Source organism: Homo sapiens, chromosome 20 (genome assembly GCF_000001405.40).
Source record: "Homo sapiens chromosome 20, GRCh38.p14 Primary Assembly".
NCBI lineage: Eukaryota > Metazoa > Chordata > Mammalia > Primates > Hominidae > Homo > Homo sapiens.
In genome coordinates this window covers 3,460,236-3,483,256 of record NC_000020.11, presented here as the reverse complement: position 1 = coordinate 3,483,256, position 23,021 = coordinate 3,460,236, and the positions used below count along the sequence as shown (strand labels likewise).

The window sequence follows — 23,021 nt, the reverse complement described above, 5'->3', positions numbered from 1 at the left end:
AATATTAACTATGAATCCACTAGAACTACATTTATCAACAGATAAATCTCCAGCATATCTCATCTCAAGATTAAAAAATGCTACATGTTTTTGGGAATAAGATATTGTTTGCAGAAATATCTCTCTGTACTCTCTGTAATAAGAGTAGAAACATGCAAGAGAAATAATAAACATCAACTTCACCATACTAGTTACCTCTGGGGAAAGGGTACGGTGAAGAGGATTAAGAAGGGGTGGTAACATGGGGACCTTGGTCAGTATCTGTAACATTTTACTTTTTAGAATAACATTAATATGAAGAAAATTCAGAAAAACCAGGTTGCAAGTACAAAGAGATATTCCTCGCATCTCTTCCATAGGCTTCAAATATTTCATATTAATAGGAAGTTATAGTTAGTTCAGAGACTGAACCAGCACTAAACATATCATCACTTTAAAAAAATGAGTTATACATTTTGTCAGTATTGGTCAGTGTTTCTCAAAGAGTTGTCCAAATACTGCTCCCATTAAAAGACAGTCATGTCATCTATCAAAAGAGAAGCATAAGACACAATGATATTTATATATAAGTTCTGAGAAGGCATAAAATGAATCTAATTCTGCAGATCTGTCTCAAGATCATCTTTGCCAAACCTTCTGATCAAAATCCTTGATATCTCCAGTACTTCAAAAACAGTGTTCAAAAGGGAAAACTGAGTGACAATTATAGCCAGGTTGGCCTTTTCATTCAATTTAGAGAAAAACTATCCAAACAGGAAATGTGTTATTTGCAGAGAAATGCTTACAAATAGCTGAAAATCGCTATCATTTTATCATTCAGAATCAAAACACGCAAAAAAATTCTAAAAAATAATTGTGAAAGCACATATTTATGAATATCAAACATTAGGACAGGAAAACTATTTTTAATAGCACAAAACACAGTTAAATTCAATCTCTATGTTAATATACATTTTATCCCAAAATGTAATGTCTTTTTTTTTTGTCTACAACTCATGCTTTTCCTTACATAATTAAAGTACATGAAACAATATATGCACCACGTTTTAAATAGAGTAAGGTCAAATTTTCCTTTGAATATCATTATAAATTATATTTAAAATAGACATTATAATCTTTATTAACAAACTACTTTTACTTTATTTAAAATTATCTTAAAAACAGGATACATTTTTTAAAAGATTATTATTTTTTAATTCCTACGGGAGTCCATAAGATTATACATTTTTGTGAAAGGATCTGTGAATTTAAAAATTTAGAAAACACAGGTCAAGGGAGGTTACTTATGTGACTCTTAACAGCAACTGACAGAATTCCAGCCCCTAATGTTTACTGGCTTATTAGTAAACCAATCAAAAAATTCTTAAAATACAAAAAGGACCAAGAGAAATTAATTGGAAAATTCATTCATTTAATAATTGTATACTTTTAATGTCAAATTCTAAAAAAAAAAAAAAAAAAAAAAGGAAATTCACCCATTACTAAAATTAACTTCTCTAAGTGAAAAACAGAAAATTCTCAATAGGTAAGCATGTAAATAAACAGCTAGAACTGAAGTCCACCCAAAACGCAAACTGAAAAAAACTGAAAACTTAATTAAAAATTTAAAGGGTCCAAGCATGGTGGCTCTCATCTGTAATCCCAGCACTTTGGCAGGCGCAGATGAGAGGATTGCTTGAACCCAGGAGTTCGAGATCAGCCTGGGCGACATAGTGAGACCTCATCTCCACAAAATTAAAAAATTAGCCAGGCATGGTGGTGCGCACCTGCAGTTCTAGCTACTCAGGACGCTGAGGTGGGAGGCACTTGAGCCCAGAGGCTCAAGGTGGTCAAGGCTGCAGTGAGCAGTGATTGCACCACCGCACTTCAGCACGGGTGACAGGGTAAGCCCCTGTCTCAAACACTCGAAGATCAATCCACTAGCAGAAAAAGAAAAAAAACTTTTTCAATGTTTTAATTGAAAGGATATCGAACCATGGTCTCAGTGATAAAAGAAAAGCAGTTAAAGAGATATGACATAAAGAAAATGAAAAGTGGGAAAAAAGCAAGACAAATATAAGAAAGCCCTCATAAGAAGGAAGTCACGTTAATAATAACAGAGCAGTTTGAAGTATAGAAAGAAAAGGGAAAATGGAAGGAACAAAGTAAAAATGAAAGATGAGAACAGTATATAGTATATAGATGGAAGTCACTTGCCAAAATGCATTTGGGAATTCACAGAAAATAGGAGAGTACTATTTAAGTGGGAAACAAGTATCATAGTAAGTTAATGGCCAATTTCCAGACACAAGTATTTCAAAAAGTACAACTATAGTTTCATTTCAGTTTTGGAAATATGATTGTATTAACAAGAAAAACCAGTGTAAGATTTCTGTTCAATCATAACACTAGGTACTCACTTCTGTATTTCTTAAGATAAAAATAACCTACAAATGTATTAAATCACTTAATCACATTTATATGATCAAAACTGTTCTGATCATAAACACACACTCTCCTTTTTCTCCTGCGTACATACCTGTCCTCTATACTGCGGTAAATAAAAAGCATCTGCCCATCTTGGGAACCTTTCATCGAGGTAAAGTCTATGGTAATTTGTTACAGAAGCCCTAACTGACTAACCCTAGTCAGCTGGCTCTACCTCCCTCCCTCTGTATGTTAGGAATTGTTCTACTGTAAGTGGAAGGAAATCCAACTCTAACCGGCTTAAGAAAAACATGGACTGCAGTACTTCACAAACCAAAAACTACACCTTCAGGCAAGTTTTGATCCAGAGATTCAGAAAGTTATCAGGTCTCCGGCTCCATTTCTCTGCCATCCTCCATCTTCTGGGAGTTGTTCTGACCTGAGGTGAATTCCTTACAGCAGCAACGCTAACTCTTAACAGTTCTAGGCATTATGGCCTCGCCACACAGAAAAGAAGGCAACACATGTCCTTCTAAACGCCCACAGAGGAAAGGGATCTCCGACAAAAGTCCTGAGATTCACTCTGATTGAGTCCATTAAAATCAATCATAAACCCATTTCAAAACAATCAGCACGGCCAGAAACTGGAATGCCCTGAGGGCTTATCCTAGGTCAAGCATAAACCCAGAAGCTGGAGATTGTTGGGAAGGGACAAAAAGAGGCCATTATAACCTTACAACCTCACCCCCTTCCTTCCATTACACCCCTCACAAGTTATGTTCCAACAACAGGCACCTACATTCAGTTCTCCAGGTGCTGTGGGTTGTACTGTGTTCCCCAAAAAGATATGTCAAAGTCCTAACCCTGGGTCCCTGTGAATGTGACCTTATTTGGAAACAGGGTCTTGGCAGATGCAACAAAGTTACGATGATGTCATACTCGTTCATCCACTATGACTGGTACCCTTAAGAGAAAAGACAGAGACACAAAGGGAGGGAGAGTATCACATGAGATTGAAGGGACGGAGGCAGAGGCTGAAGTGATGCATCTACAAGCCAAAATGCCAAGGACTGCTGGCAACTCCAGAAGCGAAGAGAAAGGCATGGAACAGATCCTCCCTGAGAGTCTTCAGAGAGATCGTGGCCCTGCCAGTACCTTGATTGCAGGCTTCTAGTCCCCAGAACTATGAAAGAATAAATTTCTGTTGTTTTATGCCATGAGTTTGTGGCACTTCACTGTAACAGCCCTTGGAAATTAATACACTAAGTATGATAATCCATAATTCTTTGCCTTTGCACATCAACTCTTCATTCCTTCTGGAATGTCTTTCTCCCCCAGATGGTCTACTCACACTAAACCTCTCAGACCTGCCCAAATGTCCTCTCTTCTGTGATGTCTTCCACCAGAACCCCCAAAAGAGTTAAGTCAATCACATCTTAGTCCAGCACCACATATTGCCTGTATTTTTATTATGAAATTCTAATTGCTGTGTACGTAGCTGTCTTCCCTTCATAGTTATAACTTCTCTTAGGGGAAAGCAAGGCCTGATTCTTACACACCTTCATATCCTCAAGGAAGGGCACAGTACCTAACACACAATATTCAGCAGATATTTATGAAGTGAATTAGCAGATGACTCATTTCAAAAGAAGATAATAGGGGTCAGGTGCAGTGGCTCATGCCTGTAATCCCAGCACTTTGGGAGGTCAAGACGAGATGATCTCTTGGGGACAGGAGTTCCAGATTGGCCTGGGCAACATAGTGAGACCTCATCTCTACAAAAAATTTAAAAATTGGCTGGGCACACTGGCCTGTGATCCCAGCCACTTGGGAGGCTGAGGTGGCAGGATCACTTGAGCCCAGGAGCACTGCCCTCCAGCCTAGATGACAGAATAAGACCTTGTCTCTCAAAAAAAAAAAAAAAAAAAAGGGTATGAATTATAGATTATAGAGAACTGAAGGTGGGCCTTGGTAAGTAGAGATGAAAAGAAAGAATGGGGGAGCAGTGAGGAGGGAGGTGCTGAATTTAGCAAACACAGAAAAACTACGAAGTAGAAAGATTTGGTTAGGAAAAAAAGGGATGTGAAAGGAATGGGATCCTTCTGCTGAGGATCATTTTAGAGGTAATAAAAGAAGCAAAATAAGAGACACATGTTTTTGTTTTTTATTACACTTTAAGTTCTGGGATATATGTGCAGAACGTGCAGATTTGTTACACAGACATACACGTGCCACAGTGGTTTACTGCACCCATCAACCCATACTCTACATTAGCTATTTCTCCTAATGCTATCCCTCCCCTATCCCCCTACCCACCGAAAGCCCCAGTGTGTGATGTTCCCCTCCCTGCTCCCACTTACGAGTGAGAACATGCGGTGTTTGGTTTTCTGTTCCTGTGTTAGTTTGCTAAGAATGATGGTTTCCAGCTTCATCCATGTCCCTGCAAAGAACATGAACTCACCATTTTTTATGGCTGCACAGTATTCCACGGTGTATATGTGCCACATTTTCTTTATCCAGTCTATCACTGATGGGCTGGATAGCCCATCAGTGGTTGGTTCCAAGTCTTTGCTATTGTGAATAGTGCTGCAATAAACATACGTGTGCATAGAGACACATGTTTTTTAGAAGACTGATATGACAAAGTGTGAAGCAGACTCTGCAGGTGTAAGAAAACAGTAAAAGTGCAACAGAAGCAGGTCAGCAATGAGGTGAAGGGTTAGGTACATTAGAATGGCAGCAGAAGAAATGGAAAGAAACAAATTTATACAGTGTGAGAGCAGAAAAAAACAAACAGGTAGAAAGAGCCAAAGATTACTGCTAAGTTTTGACCTTTGGTTAGCTAAATTTGGATTTAGCTAAAACAAATAAGGAAGTACAAAGAAAAAGACTATTTTTTTCAATGAGGATAGAAGTTTGGTGTTATACATGATTCAGTATGAGGTGACAATAAAAGATGCCCACCAAACAGTGGATGACAGAGAAGTTCAGGAGCAATATAAGGACAGAAGACATATATGGCAGTCATGTGGGTAAAGACGACTTTTTTAAAAGTCATAAGAAGTAAATTACAGAATTTTATTCCTTCATTCAACAGATATTTACTGCTCACTATGCTCCAGGCCCCTGCCCTCATGGAACTTACATTGCACTGGGGAAAGCAGATCAGCCTAAACTGGACTTGTGAACTATGCTCCAGGCCCCTGCCCTCATGGAACTTACATTGTACTGGGGAAAGCAGATCAGCCTAAACTGGACTTGTGAACTATGCTCCAGGCCCCTGCCCTCATGGAACTTACATTGCACTGGGGAAAGCAGATCAGCCTAAACTGGACTTGTGAACTATGCTCCAGGCCCCTGCCCTCATGGAACTTACATTGCACTGGGGAAAACAGATCAGCCTAAACTGGACTTGTGAACTATGCTCCAGGCCCCTGCCCTCATGGAACTTACATTGCACTGGGGAAAGCAGATCAGCCTAAACTGGACTTGTGAACTATGCTCCAGGCCCCTGCCCTCATGGAACTTACATTGCACTGGGGAAAACAGATCAGCCTAAACTGGACTTGTGAACTATGCTCCAGGCCCCTGCCCTCATGGAACTTACATTGCACTGGGGAAAACAGATCAGCCTAAACTGGACTTGTGAACTATGCTCTGGGCCCCTGCCCTCATGGAACTTACATTGCACTGGGGAAAGCAGATCAGCCTAAACTGGACTTGTGAACTATGCTCCAGGCCCCTGCCCTCATGGAACTTACATTGCACTGGGGAAAGCAGATCAGCCTAAACTGGACTTGTGAACTATGCTCCAGGCCCCTGCCCTCATGGAACTTACATTGCACTGGGGAAAGCAGATCAGCCTAAACTGGACTTGTGAACATAAATTTAGGGCTTGAGGTTGACATCACTTAGTAATTACTATAAGAAAAAAGTTTTAACTTTTCACTTCTTCACATTTTGTTTTCAAGAATTTTCTTTCTTTCTTTCGAGACAGAGTTTTGCTTTTGTTGTCCAGGCTGGAGTGCAATGGCACAATCTCGGCTCACTGCAACCTCTGCCTCCTGGATTTGAGCGATTCTCCTGCCTCAGCCTCCTGAGTAGCTGGGATTACAGGCGCTCGCCACCATGCCTGGCTAATTTTTTGAATTTTTAGTGGAGACGGGGTTTCACCATGTTGGTCAGGCTAGTCTCGAACTCCTGACCTCAGGCGATCCGCCCGCCTCAGCCTCCCAAAGTGCTGGGATTACAGGCGTGAGCCACTGCGCCCAGGCAAGAATTTTCATTTCATTAGTTAAAAAGGTATTTATGTCCTCAGATCGTCAGCCAGAGAGACTGAAGTGAATTTAAGATTTTTAAAATGTTAGCTTTCCTATTGTAAAAATCTATTTTCCTTCCTTTATTTCTCAAAATGTTTGTTGGAATTAGGTCAGTCCTTCAAAGAACGTCCATAAAGAGTGACTGGACTCAGAAAAAAATGAGACGCCAAATGGTATAATAAAAAGAACACAGGTTTGGGCATTAGACAACCCTGAGTTCAAATCTCAATTTTGCACAACTTCTGTGACCTTGGACAAGTTATTCAGTACATCCAAGTTTACTCATCTGTGAAATGGGAATAACTTCACTCTAAGGACTAAAAGGGAGTTATTTCTAATAGGCAGTTGGCACTATATACATATTTTTTGTTTTGCTTTGTTTTTTTGTGACAAGGGTCTCGCTTTGTTGCCCAGGATGGAATGCAGTGGCATGATTATGGCTCACTGCAGCCTCAACCTCCTGGGCTCAAGCCATCCTCCTGCATCAGCCTCCCATGTAGCTGGGACCACAGGCACATGCCAACACACCCAGCTAACTTTCTTTTTTTTGGTAGTGAGGAGCTCTCACTTTGTTGCCCAGGTTGGTCTCAAACTCCTGGGCTCAAGTGATTCTTCTGCCTCTGCCTCCCAAAGTGTTGGGATTACAGGTGTGAGCTACTACACCCACCCACTATTATTACTGTATGTGCTGGGCACAAAACAGATGTCTGATAAGTGCTTAGTTCCTTTCTTTTTTTTTCTACAGAAGGTACATCTTAACATTATCAGGCTCAATCCAATTCACCAGATTATTCTATTCAATTCTCCCAAACATTTTCTACAGCAGGAACTTAAAAGAATTGAATGAATATTAAATTCAAAAATGAGCTTAATTTATCCTATGGGCATATTTATCCTTCGAAGAAAAATTACACTGGTGACCTTACAAGTAGAAAAAAATGATCACTGAATTATGAAGATTCACATAAGAATGAACGAAAGTGGTACTGCCTTAGAAATCACACACCAAAGATTCTATAGGTATTTTTATTAAACTGACATCCTTTAACTTATCCTTTAAAATCAGTCATTTCTATGTCATCTTTTATTTAGAAAAAATGTTACTAACTACAATAATTCAATAATCTAAATTTTATATAACACCCTCAGAGTTGTCCTGAGGATTAAATAATACAATGTACATGAAAATGCTCTGTGGCACATAGTCTGCACTCAGTGATAACCTTAGGGAAATCCACTCCTCGTTAGCCTACGTTCCCTTCAATTAATGAAAAAACCCTATAACGGCAATTATAACACAGGATTTACAGGACTAAAAAGCTCAAAAAACACTCCAACTTGATGCCATTCTAAATCAGAAAGGTATTCATTTAATGTCTTTTAATAACAAAGAGGTTTGTAAGTTCAATCAAGATACAAGCCACTGCAATCAAAACCAACATTTCACTCTTGCCCCCAAAAGAATACTTGGACTAAATTTTTTTTTTTTTTTTTTTTTTTGAGATGGAGTCTCACACCCTCGCCTGGTCTGGAGTGCAATGGCGCAATCTCGGCTCTCTGCAACCTCCGCTTCCCGGGTTCAAGCAATTCTCCTGCCTCAGCCTCCCGAGTAGCTGGGATCACAGGCGCCTGCCACCATGCCCAGGTAATTTTTTGTATTTTTAGTAGAGACGGGGATTCACTATGTTGGCCAGGCTGGTCTCAACTCCTAACCTCTTGATCTGCCCGCCTCAGCCTCCCAAAGTGCTGGGATTACAGGCGTGAGTCACCGCGCTTGGCCTCGACTAAAATTTTATTGAGTTTTTGTTGTTGTTGTTGTTGTTTTGAGATGGACTCTCGCTCTGTCACCCAGGCTGGAGTGCAGTGGTGCGATCTCGGCTCACTGCAAGCTCTGCCTCCCGGGTTCACGCCATTCTCCTGCCTCAGCCTCCCGAGTAGCTGGGACTACAGGTGCCCGCCACCACGCCCGGCTAATTTTTTGTATTTTTAGTGGAGACGGGGTTTCACCAAGTTAGCCAGGATGGTCTCGATCTCCTGACCTCGTGATACACCGCCTCGGCCTCCCAAAGTGCTGGGATTACAGGTGTTAGCCACCACGCCTGGCCTACTGAGTTTTTTTTAAAAGACCAGAGTCATAAGTTCCTCCTACTTTCATTTTTAAAAATGCAAAATCCCAAAGCCCACAAAATATAATGGTATCATCAGGACCAAAGTCATAATTGTCTACCCAGGAAACAGCACTGACATCACCTAGAATCAGCTCAAAGGGAATGTCCACAATAAGCAGGGGAGTCCCTTCACTCACCTGTGACACTATTTGAGACAACCAGTGTCAGGACTGCCTGTTCCCTGCAACAAGTAGCTCTTATCCAATCCTCTGGGCTTTCCATGTGGACTCTCAGAGAGAGCTCCCTGGCAATCTCCCTCATAGGTCGATGACTCCAAACTTAACATCTGCCAGGTGTGTACTCTGAGAGCACCCCAAACTCAGCATGCATGCAATTAAATGTCTAACACCTGCTCCTGTGTCCCTGTGTCTGTTAATGGTATCACTGTCCTCTCAACCACCCAAGACAGGATCTAGTTTTCTTTCCCTCACCATCCCCCACCTTTCCAAGAGCAAACCAGTTTACACGGAAGACTTGTCCATTTCACCTCTACAAGCTCTCATTACCACTGCTCTGACCCATGCCAACAGATCCCACCTAGCTGCCCCCTATCTCTCATGCCCAAAGTGAGTGTACCTACTCTGAACATTACAGATTGATCTTGCTATGAAGTCCCCTTCCCACACCGCTGGTCCCCACTGCCTACCACAGTGTCCCAGGTTTTCAGAACTTGAAGGATCCTCGTCTGACTCAACCATCCATTCACCTGACCTTGGAAGCTTCTCAAATGGAAAATGCCCTGGCCTCACCTTCAAGGCCATTTGTATTCTGGCTCCAATCTAAAAGCCTATAATGTCATGAAAATAGGCGTGAACTACGCCATTTCACAGCTCTTGGGCTAAAGGTCAAAATTCTCAATCCAACCCACAGATCTCCACTTGGCCTGGCTTCCCGCCTTTCTCTCCAGTCTTGCCAAGCTCCCCTTTGCTCTCTCTGCTCCTGCCACCTGGCCTTCCATCCGCTTCAACCCCAAGCCTCTGTACCTGCTGGCCCCTCAGCACCCCACCCCTCACGCAGGTAGTACCATCTCACCCCTCAGACTTCACATCGCTTCCTCAGTGACTTACCTTACCCCTAGACTAAGTCAAGTCCTCTGTTTGTCTCCTGCTCTTTACCTCCACAGCCTTAAACAAAATTACAATAAAATTTTTGTTGGATTTTTTTACTCCCAAGCTGAAATGTGAGCTCCGTAAGAGCAGGACTGTGCCTGTCTTGTATACCACTGTATCTCACAACCTAAAACATAGGAGCCCTCAACAAATACATGTAGGTTAATGGAATTCATAAATCAGAACACCCTAAGTTACAAAAGCAGCTTCACTGCATCAGTGGTCCTGAAGTAACTTGGTTTCTCCATCCATAAAACTAAAGAGCTCATCTGCTCAACGTTCTCTGAGTTCCTCAGAAGACCTAATATTACCTAAGTCTACAATTTTGCTATTCCAAACTCCTCTCTCACAACTCTCTTCCACATAGGCAGCAGCAAAACTTTACTTTCCAGCCTCCACAACTTTGTTTGCACCCTTCTTTCCATCTGTAATTTTTTTCCAGCTCCACATTTCCAAATCCTACTTAACCTTACATGCTCAAATCCAATGTTACCGCCTCCTCAAAGTCCTCCTTGCATCCCTCCAGCTAGCCACAACCTCTCCATCCCTGAATTCCCACAAGTTCCCTGTTGCCTCATTCAGGTCTCAGATCAAATGTCATTTCAAATGAGAACCCTCTCCAAGAGTCACCACCGGTTATAATTCTCTATCAGACCACGCTGTTTTTATTTTCTTGATAGCATTTACCATTACCTGAAATTACCATGTTTATTTCTCTCATTTATTTACTTGTTAAGTGCCTGTTGCTCCCACTAGAATGTTAAGGTCAATGAGAGCAGAGGCCCTGTCTGTCTTGTTCACATTTCCCCACTCCCCCACATCAGACATGTGTTCAGTAAGCTAAATACCTGTCAAAGGCGTGAATGACTCTGTAACCCTTATGACTAGGGTTATGTGCGCACATTATCTTTCTCTTGCTATATTCCAAACTCCCTGTGGACAAGGCCAAAGTCTGGCTAATCTGTCTGTATTATCTGGAAAATCATTGCACAACTGAAGCAAATAACGATAACTGCTAATTAATTTATTGATTTCTCCAAGAGGAACTGCCCCAAACTAAGCCAATTCAGAACTTCATATTGTCCAGAAACCAAGGCAAATAGGAATCTCCTTCCATTCCCTCTTCACCACAGACCCTATTCCAATTTGCCACCTCCAGGGAGCTTTTGCCAAAAGGCTAGTTTCCTCACTTTCCTTTAGAAGGACCACTGGTCCTTCTATCCCTAATATCTTACAATGCTACCCTTTCCCTTTTATCTCCAGCCAACAAAGCATTTCCAGGGCCCTGTTTCTTCAGAGCACCCCACATCTCCAGTGCATCGGGGAACTCATCGGGTCCTAGGGCACATGTGGATGTTAAAAGGAAGTGTTCAAGCAAACCTGGCTCGACCACCTTTCCTTGGATACCTCGTTTAGCTGAAACACGCCGAGTTTTAGAGCGATCGGCTTTGATGCTCTTTGGGTCCCTCAGCATTCTTCCCATCTAACTAACCTAAGCACCCAAATACCGTCGGGGTGCCCCCACCCTTGCCCCACACCTTTTCACCTTCCAACAGAGAAAGACCCCAGGCCAGAGACGATGATCTCCCCGGAAGCAAATGGCCCTCAAACCCCATAGGGCGGCCCTACCCTCTCCACTTTCTGTCCAGCATCTCCCTCTGACCTGGAGCCGTCTCGAACGCCCCTCAGCCCCAGCCTCTGGTTGGACCCGACCCTCCGACACCACCCGCCACTCACCTGAAGCGGCCCCCGCAGTGCTGGCATTGCTCGCCCACCCAGCCGGCGGGGCAGACGCACTGGCCGGTGCCAGGGTTGCAGCGACCGCCGTTGACACAGGGCCGGTCACATTCCTTGGCCTCGGCTGCGGCTGAGCCCGACACCGCCGCCGCCGCCGCCGCGGCCTCGGCCTCACAGGGCAGCAGCAGCAGCAGCAGCGGCGGCGAGAGCAACAACAGCAGCAGCAGCAGCCGTGGCCGCAGCGGTGGAGACAGCAGCCGCGGGAGGCGCAGCCCGGCCCCCAGCCCCGGCCTCCCAGCCCTGGTCACGTCCCAGTCCCAGTGCGGCCCGCCGCTCCTGCCCGCGAGCGCTGCCGTCGCCGCCGTCCTCCTCCTCAGCCTTGCCTCAGTTGCCGCCGCTGCAGCCACCATCTTCCCGGGGCTGAGACGGCGCCCCGCGAACACATACACACACACCGCACGGCCGGCTCCGCTTCGCCTGGCCGTGCGGGGCGGGGCTGTGCGGACGGTGGCTCGTGCGGTCCAAAGGGGCCACAGCGGGGCGGTGGGCGGGGCCGGCGCGCGCGTGCGCGAGTACGTGGGTGCGTGCGTGCGGGGGCGCAGACAGTGGTCTCCGGCGTCCGCGGCGCCGGAGGCGATCTTCTGACGTGGACCGTAGAACGAGCTGAAACCCGGCTGCGCTGTCCCGGCCGGCGAAAGCTCTAGTTTTCCCCCTTCGCCTTTCGTCCCCGGCGGCGGGGTTGCAGCCCCACTGGATGCCTAGGAGCCGACTGCGTTGAGTGTTGCCCTCCTAGAGACCCGGCACTCTGCCCTAACTCCAGCTGCCGGACGGAAAGGGTACAGGAGGCTGCATCGCAGCGAGGTGCTGGGTGCGGTACTGTAGAAGCCAGGCTTCATTCGAGCCTCTGTAACACAAGAGTCAAGAAAGAACACATGTAGAACCTGGCATAGGCCGGGCGCGGAGGCTTACGCCTGTAATCCCAGCACTTTGGGAAACTGAGGCAGGCGGATCACTTGATCTCTGGGATCCGAGACCAGCCTGGCCAACAGGGTGAGACACTGTCTCTACTAAAAATACAAAAATTAGCCGAGCATGGTGGTGCGCGCCTGTATCCCCAGCTACTCCAGAGGCTGAGGCAGGAGGATCGCTTGAGTCTGGAGAGGTCAAGGCTGCAGTGAGCCGCAGTCGCAGCACTGCACTCCAGCCTGGGCAACACAAGACCCTGTGTCAAAAAATGAAGAACCTGGCATGTAGGCTGTGCTCAGTAAATGCCTAATAAACTGAATGAAGACACACAGCCAGGCCTCTTGATAACAGATGGACTGTAGCTGACCAGACCCCCTACCTTTAATTCTGTAAAAGTTTGGAGTTACCTTGCTCCCCACAATTTGCCCTCCAACCATCTTCTCTGAAGAGTGGGCAATATAGAATTAGGAAATGGCGCTCACACAGACCTGCCCCTTCTTGTCTGGTAGTTGTTACTCTGGTGTCCCTCAATGAGACATGTCTTCCATCAATGTAGCCTTTTATGGTCCTTGACCCTGGAATCTGGGCTGGGTCATGATTGAGACCATGAGAAACCATGACTCAATTTCACCAATAGAAGAAGTTGGTAGGAGTAGCAATGTCTTGTTTCTAGCTCTGAGCTTAAAAAAGACCTGGCAGCCTTGGCCGGGCACGGTGGCTCACGTCTGTAATCCCAGCACCTTGGGAGGCCGAGGCGGGCAGATCACGAGGTCAGAAGTTCGAGACCACCCTGATCGACGTGGTGAAACCCTGTCTCTACAAAAAATACAAAAATTAGCCGGGCGTGGTGGCACACACCTGTAATCCCAGCTACTCAGGAGAGTCGCTTGAATCCAGGAGGCAGAGGTTGCAGAGAGTCGTGATCGCGCCACTGCACTCCAGCCTGGGGGACAGAGCGAGACTCTGTCTCAAAAAAAAAAAAAGACCTGGCAGCCTTGATTTTGAGCTGTTGGTGGTCATGAGCTGCACCCCGTTAGCCACCTTGCTGGAGAGAAACCATGTGCAGAGACCACTTGGACTTGGAGAGGGAGAGCTGGGCCGCTCAGCTGGTGGAGCCATCCTAGCTAAGGGATCAGTCATTGAGTGAAGAAGCTATCTGGGTTGGGTTATTCCAACCGTCTGGGCTGTTCCATGTTACCTACAACAGTAACAGGTCTTTCCTAACTGTGACTTATCCAAAATCCTAAGAAATAACTCATTTATCATTTAACCCTTAAGTGATGAATTATTTATAATTTTTCATAAATTATGATTTATGTTATTTTAAGCCTCTAAGTTTTAGAGAGGTTTGTTACTCAGTAATAGATAAGCAGAACATTGTCCGACATAATGCTTGTGCTATGAGGAATATTCCTATGGCACCTACCTCAGAATCTGGGCACCTTACAGTCCCTGGGAAACAAAGAAAAACCCTCATAGACCTGTGGAGCCTCTCAGCTTTACCTCAGAGTATGGAATTTTAAGGTTCTAAGATGGATTTCCACACTCATACCCAGGTCCCACTCTCATACTCAGGTCCTGACTGTCCTCACTGCATCTTCTTCAAGCCTGGTGAAGCTGAATTGCACAAAAGCCTTACCCCCAGCTCTACATCCACACATACTCCCCATTCCTACAGGAAAACTATTGTTCGGCCTAGGCCCTAGCACTGACATTCTGGTTTGCAGGTTATGTTTTTGCCATGTAGGATTTTGAAATTGAAGACATGGCCCTACCCTCTGGCAGGACCCCATCAGATGGGGAGGCTGGCATAGGCCATGCCCTAGCTGTAGGAGACATTGCTCCCCCTAATCTTCCAGGCCAGAAGTGAACCAGCCCTTTCCTTCCCTTCCCTCCCCACAGCAAGACTGAACCCACACTGTGAAGTTTCACATGATTTTACCAACATTCAGGGATAACAGAAAAGGTGTGCATCTGAAGAACAGCAATCCCTAGACTAGATATTGCTACTCTGAAGCCTTAGAATCTTGCTGCAGCAAACATTCTTTCTTACTTCCTTAATCTACTCTCTTCTCTGGTTCTTTTTCCTTAGCTTTCAAACATGCTCAAATTATTTTGTCCTTAAAAAACAAACACGCTGGGTGCAGTGGCTCATGCCTGTAATCCCAGTGCTTTGGGAGGCCAAGGTGGGAGGATCACCTGAGGCCAGGAGTTTGAGACCAGCCTGGACAACATAGTGAGACCTTGTCTCTACAAAAAATTTTTTAAAAAATTAGTCAGATGTGGTGGCGTGCATGTGTAGTCCCAGCTACTTGGGAGGCTGGGGCAGGGGGATCACAGAGCCCAGGAGTTTGAGGCTGCAGTAAGCTATGTTTGGACCACTGCACTCCAGCCTGGGCAACAGATCAAGACCCTGTCTCTAAAAACAAATAAACAAAGAAACAAAATCTTACCTGCTATCTTCTTTTTCCTTTACTGCGTTTATCAAAAAGTCCCCTACACATTCTATGTCTGTGTGATAGATTAAAGATGGCTGCAAATTCTCTTACATTCCTTCTATGGAGAGATCAGGTCTAACCCTTGGCCCCGGCCCCACCCCCACCCCCACCCCCACCCCACTCTGAATCTAGCCTGGCCTTAGTGATTTGCTTGACTGATAGACTATGGTGGAAGTGATGTACTGGGATTTCTGAGGTCCCAGAAATGGGACTTTATGCTAGGTCATAAGAAGTCTTGCAGCTTCCTCCTGAAGTGTCTTGGAACACTTGCCATAAAAGATGTCCAGCTACCCTGAGACCACCATGCTGTGAGGAAGCCAGCCCCCAGCCATTCAAGTCTTCCCAGTTGGGGCCCCAATCATGAAGCAGGGGGGTGTTGTTCCTGCTGAACCCGCCCCAAACTGCAGATACATAAGCAAATAAATGAGCCAACTGGGGACAGTTCGTTACACAATAATAAATTACCAGAATACTCTGTACCCTGGTTCCTCCAAGGACAAGAATAAGTCTTGTGATGTGGACTTGATTAAGAATTAAGAACGACAGTATAATTGTATATAAATGTATAATCTACAACTAGTCATCTATATGTAATACACTAGTATCATTGTCCAGTTGCTTCTCATGAAGGAGGTCACCGTAGTCACCGTAGCTTCAGAAGTGCCTCTGTTGTACCCCAGTGCCTTATCAGCAAGATTCTGCAGCAGTTCTGCCTGAAATCCCTTTTTTTCCACTGGTCTTTGTCATGGTGGTCATTTCCAGGTCCCAGAAACTGTAATGCCAGTGGCAAAGAATACCCAGGCTTTGATACAAATTACTCTAAGTCCAGACACTAAAATAACATTGTTCTTGCCAACTGCATGACCAAAAGGGTTTGTCTCCACTAGGTTAGTGCAGGATGGTTTGAAGGTGCCTATGCCTATTCTTTTTCACTTAAGTAAGGCATCTTACTCACCTTGGCCCTTTCTCTGATTTCATGTCATCTCTTCCTGTTTCTTTGCTTGCATTGTCTCCAAGTCATGGACATAGATGGATTTTATAATTTTTGGCTTTTACTCATGCAGTGTCTTTGGTCAGATTCCCTAGAAGCAGAACCCTGAAACAGGATCTGAGTGCATAATTCATTGGAAGATTGCTCTCGGAAGAAACACAGTGAAGGAAGCAAGATAGAGCCCAGGAGGGGGTTGAGAAAAGATGTGGTCTGGTCTTATCTAGAGTTGAGCTTCAGCCTGATCCTATGGAGAGCCCTAGAGCATGAATTGTACCATAGAATTGATTCCACTTTGAGGTAAGGGAGCAGCATTTTGTACACACATCTCTTTCAGCAGACAACATTCACAGCAGTAAGAAGGATCCTATAAAGGAAATTTGGGAGGGGTACCAATAGATACAAATAGATAGCTCCATGTATGTGTAATACATATAACAAATGTTTGTTTATCAAATACCTACTAGAAAGCAAAGATTGAATACTGCTCAAGTAAGATCTGATTGACCATCTGACTTTCCCGCAAACATCACCGGTCCTCATTCTGCACTGTTTGAAACATCGATACATTTTATTGTCCCAAAGTTATCCTTATACTTTTAGTCAATGTGTGACCAAGCAATTCTCTAATTATAGGTGTTAAAATCTCACCTAGAAGGTAAGGTACTACGTTGCCTGTGAAAGAGGTTGATCCTGAAGGTTTGGAACAAACACAACTGAGAGGGTTCTAGGTAGGAATAAAGTGCCATTGAAAGCTCCAATGGATATCCCACTGTCAACCAACCAGCAATAAGATTCCAATAGTCCTTGGCAGACTGTAAGAGAAAGTGTTTAGGAGTCCCTGATCTGGGAGCATAAAGTTATACCTCTGAGCTGTTGGCAGAGCTCCTGGTGGCCTCCTCAGACAAGTCCCACAAGTACAGGAGTTCACCTTTATGTCAGCTCAAGGGACAAGACGCTGCACTGGGATGAGCACATCAATTTAAAGGCAGAAGACTTGAAATTTCTATTGGATGAGCTAGATTCATGCCCCCTCCCCCAAATTTCTACAACAGAGAACAAAAATTTTCTCTTGTGTATAGATAAGATACTATGAAAACAGTACTACTGTTAAAAGACAAATGACTTTGCTAAATATGGCCATGAAGTACTTCAAATTAGAAGTTCCCAAACTGAAGCCATCCTTTTGGATTAAAATCCCTTATAATTTCTCCTAATTACAGATGACATATTAGTTTCCTGTGACTGCTATAATAAATTTCCACAAACTTGGTGGCATAAAACCACAGAAATTTAAAAGTTGACAGTGCAGAAGTCCTACTAGTCTGGTTCTTGTTCCCACCTGGGTACCAGCTTCCTTCAGCAGTGTTGGCCAAGGTGCTGGGGGCCAACGAAGGGAAGAGTCAACTTGTGAGAATTTTGCAGGTCTGTTGTTCTTAGCACAATGCAAGGCTAGACAAAGAGGAGAAAGAAACTTACCTGATCAGTGCCAGAAGTTATTGCACTCAAAGGGGAATAAGCAGGAAAAAAGAAAGGAAAGAGGGAAGAAAGGAAAACAAAAGGAAGGAAGGAAAAAGAAAGAAAGAATAGAAGGAAGAAAGAGAAGCCCCACAGACATGAGATGAAACCCTGTCCAAAAATGGAAGGAAGGCCAGAAAATAGTGAACCAAATTTTGAGGAAAAGCCAGAGGAGGAGGAAAATGCAGAAGGAACTTTTAGAGAAAGCTAATTCCATCTCTCCAGAATATAAAGATGTACATAAGAGGCATTTAAGCAATGAAGATATGTTTAGAGAAGTGGATGAAATAGACGAGATAAGGAGAGTAAGAAACAAACTTATAGGGATGTACTGGAAAATTGATCAAAACCATCCTTGCCCCTATTTAATGCAATTTACTTTTATTTTTATTTTATGTGATATTAACAATGCTATATAACTTTCTTTTTATTAGCATTTTTCTGATATACCTTTGTCCATCTTTCTACTTTTAACCTGTTGCTGTTAGTGGCTTCAGATGCATCATTTACCCATATCTCATTGTTTACCATATTTGAACCAATCTTCAAATCTCTTTTATAGAAGAGATTTACTCATTTGTAAAAAAAAAAAAAAAAAAAAAAAAGAGGTTCCTGATAGGATATAAAATGAAAAAAGGGTTACTAAGTAATATGTTAATATCATTTTAATTTTTTAGTTTTTAGGGACAGGGTCTTGCTACGTTGCCCGGGCTGAAGTGCTGTGTCTATTCACAGATGTGATAATCGCATACTACAGCCTCAAACTCCTGGGCTGAAGCGATCCTCCTGCCTCAGCCTTCCCAGTAGCTGGGACTACAGGCACATACCACCATGCCCAATTGTGAATAACATTTTTGAAAGGTAAGAGTACATTTGGATATCACATATATGCACATAAAAACTCGTGAAGGGTGAAAGACAAAAGGTACAATCTCTCCACAGAGGATTATAAAAGATTTTTTTTATCTGCTTACTTGTGTATTCCATATTCCTAAAATGAACACACATGATTATTGCTAAAAACAATAAAAGTTTTAAAACAACAACAAAAACCAACCTACAGAAATGTATTCTCTCACAGTTCTGGAGACCAGAAGTCTGAAATCAGGGTATCAGCAGGCTAGGCTTCTGGAGACTCTAGGGAAGAACCCTTCCCTGCCTGTTCCAGCTCCTGGTGGCTGTCCACATTCCTTGGCTTCCTTGGCTCGTGGTCACAAATCCCATATCTGCCTCCACCTTCACGTCACCTCCCCTCTATGTCCGTCTTCTGTGTGTATCTCCTATAAGGACATTTATTGGATTTAGGGCCCACCTGGATGATCCAGGATGAACTCACCTCAAGCTCCTTAATTAATTACATTCGCAAAGCCTTTTTTTTTTTTTTTTTTTTTTTGAGACAGAGTCTCACTCTGTTGCCCAGGCTGGAATGCAAATGGCATGATCTTGGCTCACTGTAACCTCTGCCTCCTGGGTTCAAGCGATTTTCATGCCTCAGCCTCCCAAGTAGCTGGGACTACAGGTAACCGTCACCACGCCCAGCTAATTTTTGTATTTTTTTTAGTAGAGACGGGGTTTCACATGTTGGCCAGGCTAGTCTCGAACTCCTGACCTCAGGTGATCCTACCGCCTTGGCCTGCAAAGTGCTAGGATTACAGGCATGAGCCAACGTGCCTGGCAACATTTGCAAAGACCTTTTTTTCCAAATACAGTAACATCCAGAGGTTCCAAGGATTAGAACATGGACAAATCTTTTGGGGGAGCCACCATTCAGCCCACTTCACACACTACACAGGTAGTCAATTCACTCAATGTATTCATTTAAGCAACTTATATTTTTTGAGTGGCTGCTGTATACCAGACACTGATCTATGCTCTGGGAGGCAGAAATGAAAAAGGATATCAAAATTCCTCTCTTTCCTCATGCCATTAGAATAGCTTGTATTTAAAATAAAAGAAGAAGAAAAGGAAAAAAAAACAGGCCGGGCATGGTGGCTCACCCCTGTAATCCCAGCACTTTGAGAGGCTGAGGTGGGTGGATCACCTGAGGTCAGGAGTCCGAGACCAGCCTGGCCAACGTGGCAAAACTTCATCTCTAGTAAAAATACAAAAATTAGCTGGGTGTGGTGGCGCATGCCTGTAATCCCAGCTACTCAGCAGACTGAGGCAGGAGACTCGTTTGAACCCGGGAGGCGGAGGTTGCAGTGAGCTGAGATCGCGCCATTACACTCCAACCTAGGCGACAAGAGAGAGAAACTCTGTCTCAAAAAAAAAAAAAAACAAACACACACAAAAAACAGACAATACTGGCATGGTGGTGTGGTGGTGTGTGCCTGTAGTCCAGCTATTCGTAAGGCGAACACAGGAGGATTGCTTGAGCCCAGGAGTTTGAGGCCAGCCTGAGCAACAACATGGCAAGACCCCCATCTCTAAAAACAAAGAAGTCAGACAAACAGACAATAACAAGTGTTGGTGAGGATGTAGAGAAATTGGAACCCTTGTGCACTGTTAGTGGTAATATAAAATGGTGCAGCCACTATGAAAAACAGTATGGGGGCTCCTCAACAAGTTAAAAATAGAATTACCATTTGATCCAGCTGTTCACTTCTGGGTATATTTCCCAAATAATTGAAAGCAGGATTTTGAAGAGATAGGTGTATTTCCATGTTTATTGTAACATTATTCACAAGAGCCAGGAGGTGGAAGCAACTCAGGTGTCTGTAGATAGATGAATGGGTAAACAAAACGTGGTATAAACATACAATGGGGCCGGGTACACTGGTTCATGCCTGTAATCCCAGCACTTTGGGAGGCCGAAGCAGGCAGATCACCTGAGGTCAGGAGTTTGAGACCAGCCTGGCAAACATGGCGAAAACTCATCTCTACTAAAATACAAAAATTAGCTGGCCATGGTGGCGGGTGCCTGTAACCTCAGCTACTTGGGAGGCTGAGGCAGGAGAATTGCTTGAACCCAGGAAGCAGAGGTTGCAGTGAGCCAAGATTGCTCCACTGCAATCCAGCCTGGGCGACAGAGCAGGGCTCTGTCTCAAAAAAAAAAAAAAGTACTATGGGCCGAGCGTGGTGACTCACAGCTGTAACCCTAATGCTTTGGTAGGCCAAGGCAGGAGGATGGCTTGAGGCCAGGAGTTTGTGACCAACCTAGGCGACAATAGCAAGACTCCTGTCTTTACAAAAGAAAAATTGTTTTAAATTAGCCAGGCACGATGGTGCATACCTGTAGTCCCAGCTACTTAGGACGCTAAAGAGGAGGATTTCTGGAGCCCAGGAGATCGAGGCTGCAGTGAGCCATGATCGTACCACTGCACTCTAGCCTGAGCAACAGAGCAAGAAGCTGTCTCAAAAGTAAAAATAAAAATTAGCAGAGTATGGTGGCATGCACCAGTAGTCCAAGCTACTTGACAGGCTGAGCCACGAGGATCACTTGAGACCAGGAGTTTGAGGCTGCAGTGATCACACCACTGCACCCTAGCCTGAGCGACAGAGGGAAACCTTGTCTAAAAAAAATAAAATAGAAACTTATATACACACATCATGATATGACAATTTATTGATTAATTCTCTTGCTGGACATTTGGGCAGTTTCCAGTTTGAGATTACTATGAATCATGATGCTATGATCATCTGGAAATCAAATACAGGTATTTTGGTGAGTATACATACATTTCTATTGGGTAGATACCAGAGGTTTGCTCATAAATGTTTAGCAACCAGCTCACTGAGAAGAAAAAGCCTTCATGCATAGCACTAGTTGATTTCTATGTTGTAAATACTCCCACCATGACCTATTTCGAGCTCCCATCATGATGTCACTGAGTGTGGAATCGGAAAGAGAGACATAGGCTCAGCCCTCACAAGCCAGTGGGAACCAGCTCCAGCACCATGTACGCCTGGGAGGTCTACTGAGAAACAGATGCCAAAACCAAATTAGACATACAAGGGCTTTACTGGGGGAAATGTCTGTGAAGGATAAAGCGGAAGCAAACAGGAAATGGCAAGAGAGGATTCAGACAGGAATAAAAATCTGACAGCTGTGAAGGAAAGCGGGAAGAAAAGATTGGTTAAGAAGAGTGTCAGATGTCAGTGCAGTTTCAATGAAGGCTCTCCCAGGCCAGTGGGGAGTCCTGGAGCCAGAGTTGTCTGTCAGAGCAGCAGCATCTTGCAGGAATCAGCCTGCAGTAGCACAAACGCAGTGGGGGACCCGGAGGGGGAGCAGCTGGGGCTGCCAGTCAACTCCGCTCCCCACGGCAGGAGAGCTGAACGATGAATTTTCACGGTTGCCACAACTGGCAACATTCCTTTGCGCCATCTCCATGTAGATGTGAGGTGGCTCTCAGACAGTGTCCCCTCCAGGTGACCTGTTTTTCACAAGTTAGATACACAACCTGGGCTTGGCTGACTTGTTTGGAAGCTGGACTGGCTGTTTTAGACTTAATAAGCCCCAGATTTCTTGGGTTTATTCAGTAGAAAAGAGAGGGTCTCAAGAGGAAGACATTGGTTTTTTTCCTAATAAGAACAGATAAGTATTCTAATTGTTAACTAAAGAAATTGGCCGGGTGCAGTAGTTCACGCCTGTAATCCCAGCACTTTGGGAGGACGAGGCAGGCGGATCACCTGAGGTCAGGAATTTGAGACAAGCAATGCCCAACATGGCAAAACCCCAACTCTACTGAAGATACAAAAAATTAGCCAGGCATGGCAGCGTGCGCCTATAATCCCAGCTCCTTGGGAGGCTGAGGCACAAGAATTGCTTGAACCCGGCAGGGCGCGGTGGCTTACGCCTGTAATCCCAGCACTTTGGGAGGGCGAGGCGGGCTGATCACAAGGTCAGGAGATCGAGACCATCCTGGCTAACATGGTGAAACCCCATCTCTACCAAAAATACAAAAAATGAGCCGGGCGTGGTGGCGGGAACCTGTAGTCCCAGCTACTCAGGAGGCTGAGGCAGGAGAATGGCGTGAACCCGGGAGGCGGAGTTTGCAGTGAGCCGAGATTGTGCCACTGCACTCCAGCCTGGCAACAGAGCAAGACTCCGTCTCAAAAAAAAAAAAAAAAAGAATTGCTTGAACCCAGGAGGTGGAGGTTGCAGTGAGCCGAGATCATATCACTGCACTCCAGCCTGGGCAACAAGAGTGAAACTCCATCTCAAAAAAATAAAACAAAAAAAAGAACAAAGCACATTGTCCTGGCACCACCAAAAGCACCATCTCTGTTTCTCATGCTTACTCAAGGCCCTGATACAGACCACTGCCAAGGTTGTGATCAAGGCCTCTGATGCCTGCACAGAGGTCCCTATC

General features: G+C 44.5%; 1 protein-coding gene and 1 pseudogene across 4 annotated transcripts in view, besides 2 other annotated features; one reads left to right on the top strand and one right to left on the bottom strand.

Moving 5' to 3' along the window:
- The window catches only part of ATRN (attractin), a 180,101-nt gene extending 167,862 nt beyond the window's left edge, over positions 1-12,239 (bottom strand). For 3 of the 4 annotated variants that reach the window (NM_139321.3, NM_001323332.2, NM_139322.4), the window contains exon 1: positions 11,740-12,239. In NM_139321.3, coding sequence (NP_647537.1) covers positions 11,740-12,149 — 410 coding nt within the window. In that variant the 5' untranslated portion in view covers positions 12,150-12,239. The remainder of the gene's footprint in view (positions 1-11,739) is intronic. The other variant, NM_001207047.3, reaches the window with a different exon arrangement.
- Positions 11,853-12,412: a silencer, noted in NCBI's record as "silent region_12621". NCBI's record gives its function as "represses an Ori minimal core promoter by ATAC-STARR-seq in GM12878 lymphoblastoid cells {active_cell/tissue: GM12878}" and the evidence as "EXISTENCE:reporter gene assay evidence [ECO:0000049][PMID:35858748]".
- Positions 12,513-12,652: an enhancer, noted in NCBI's record as "active region_17480". NCBI's record gives its function as "activates an Ori minimal core promoter by ATAC-STARR-seq in GM12878 lymphoblastoid cells {active_cell/tissue: GM12878}" and the evidence as "EXISTENCE:reporter gene assay evidence [ECO:0000049][PMID:35858748]".
- Positions 17,813-18,080, top strand: TCEAL9P1 (TCEAL9 pseudogene 1; annotated as a pseudogene).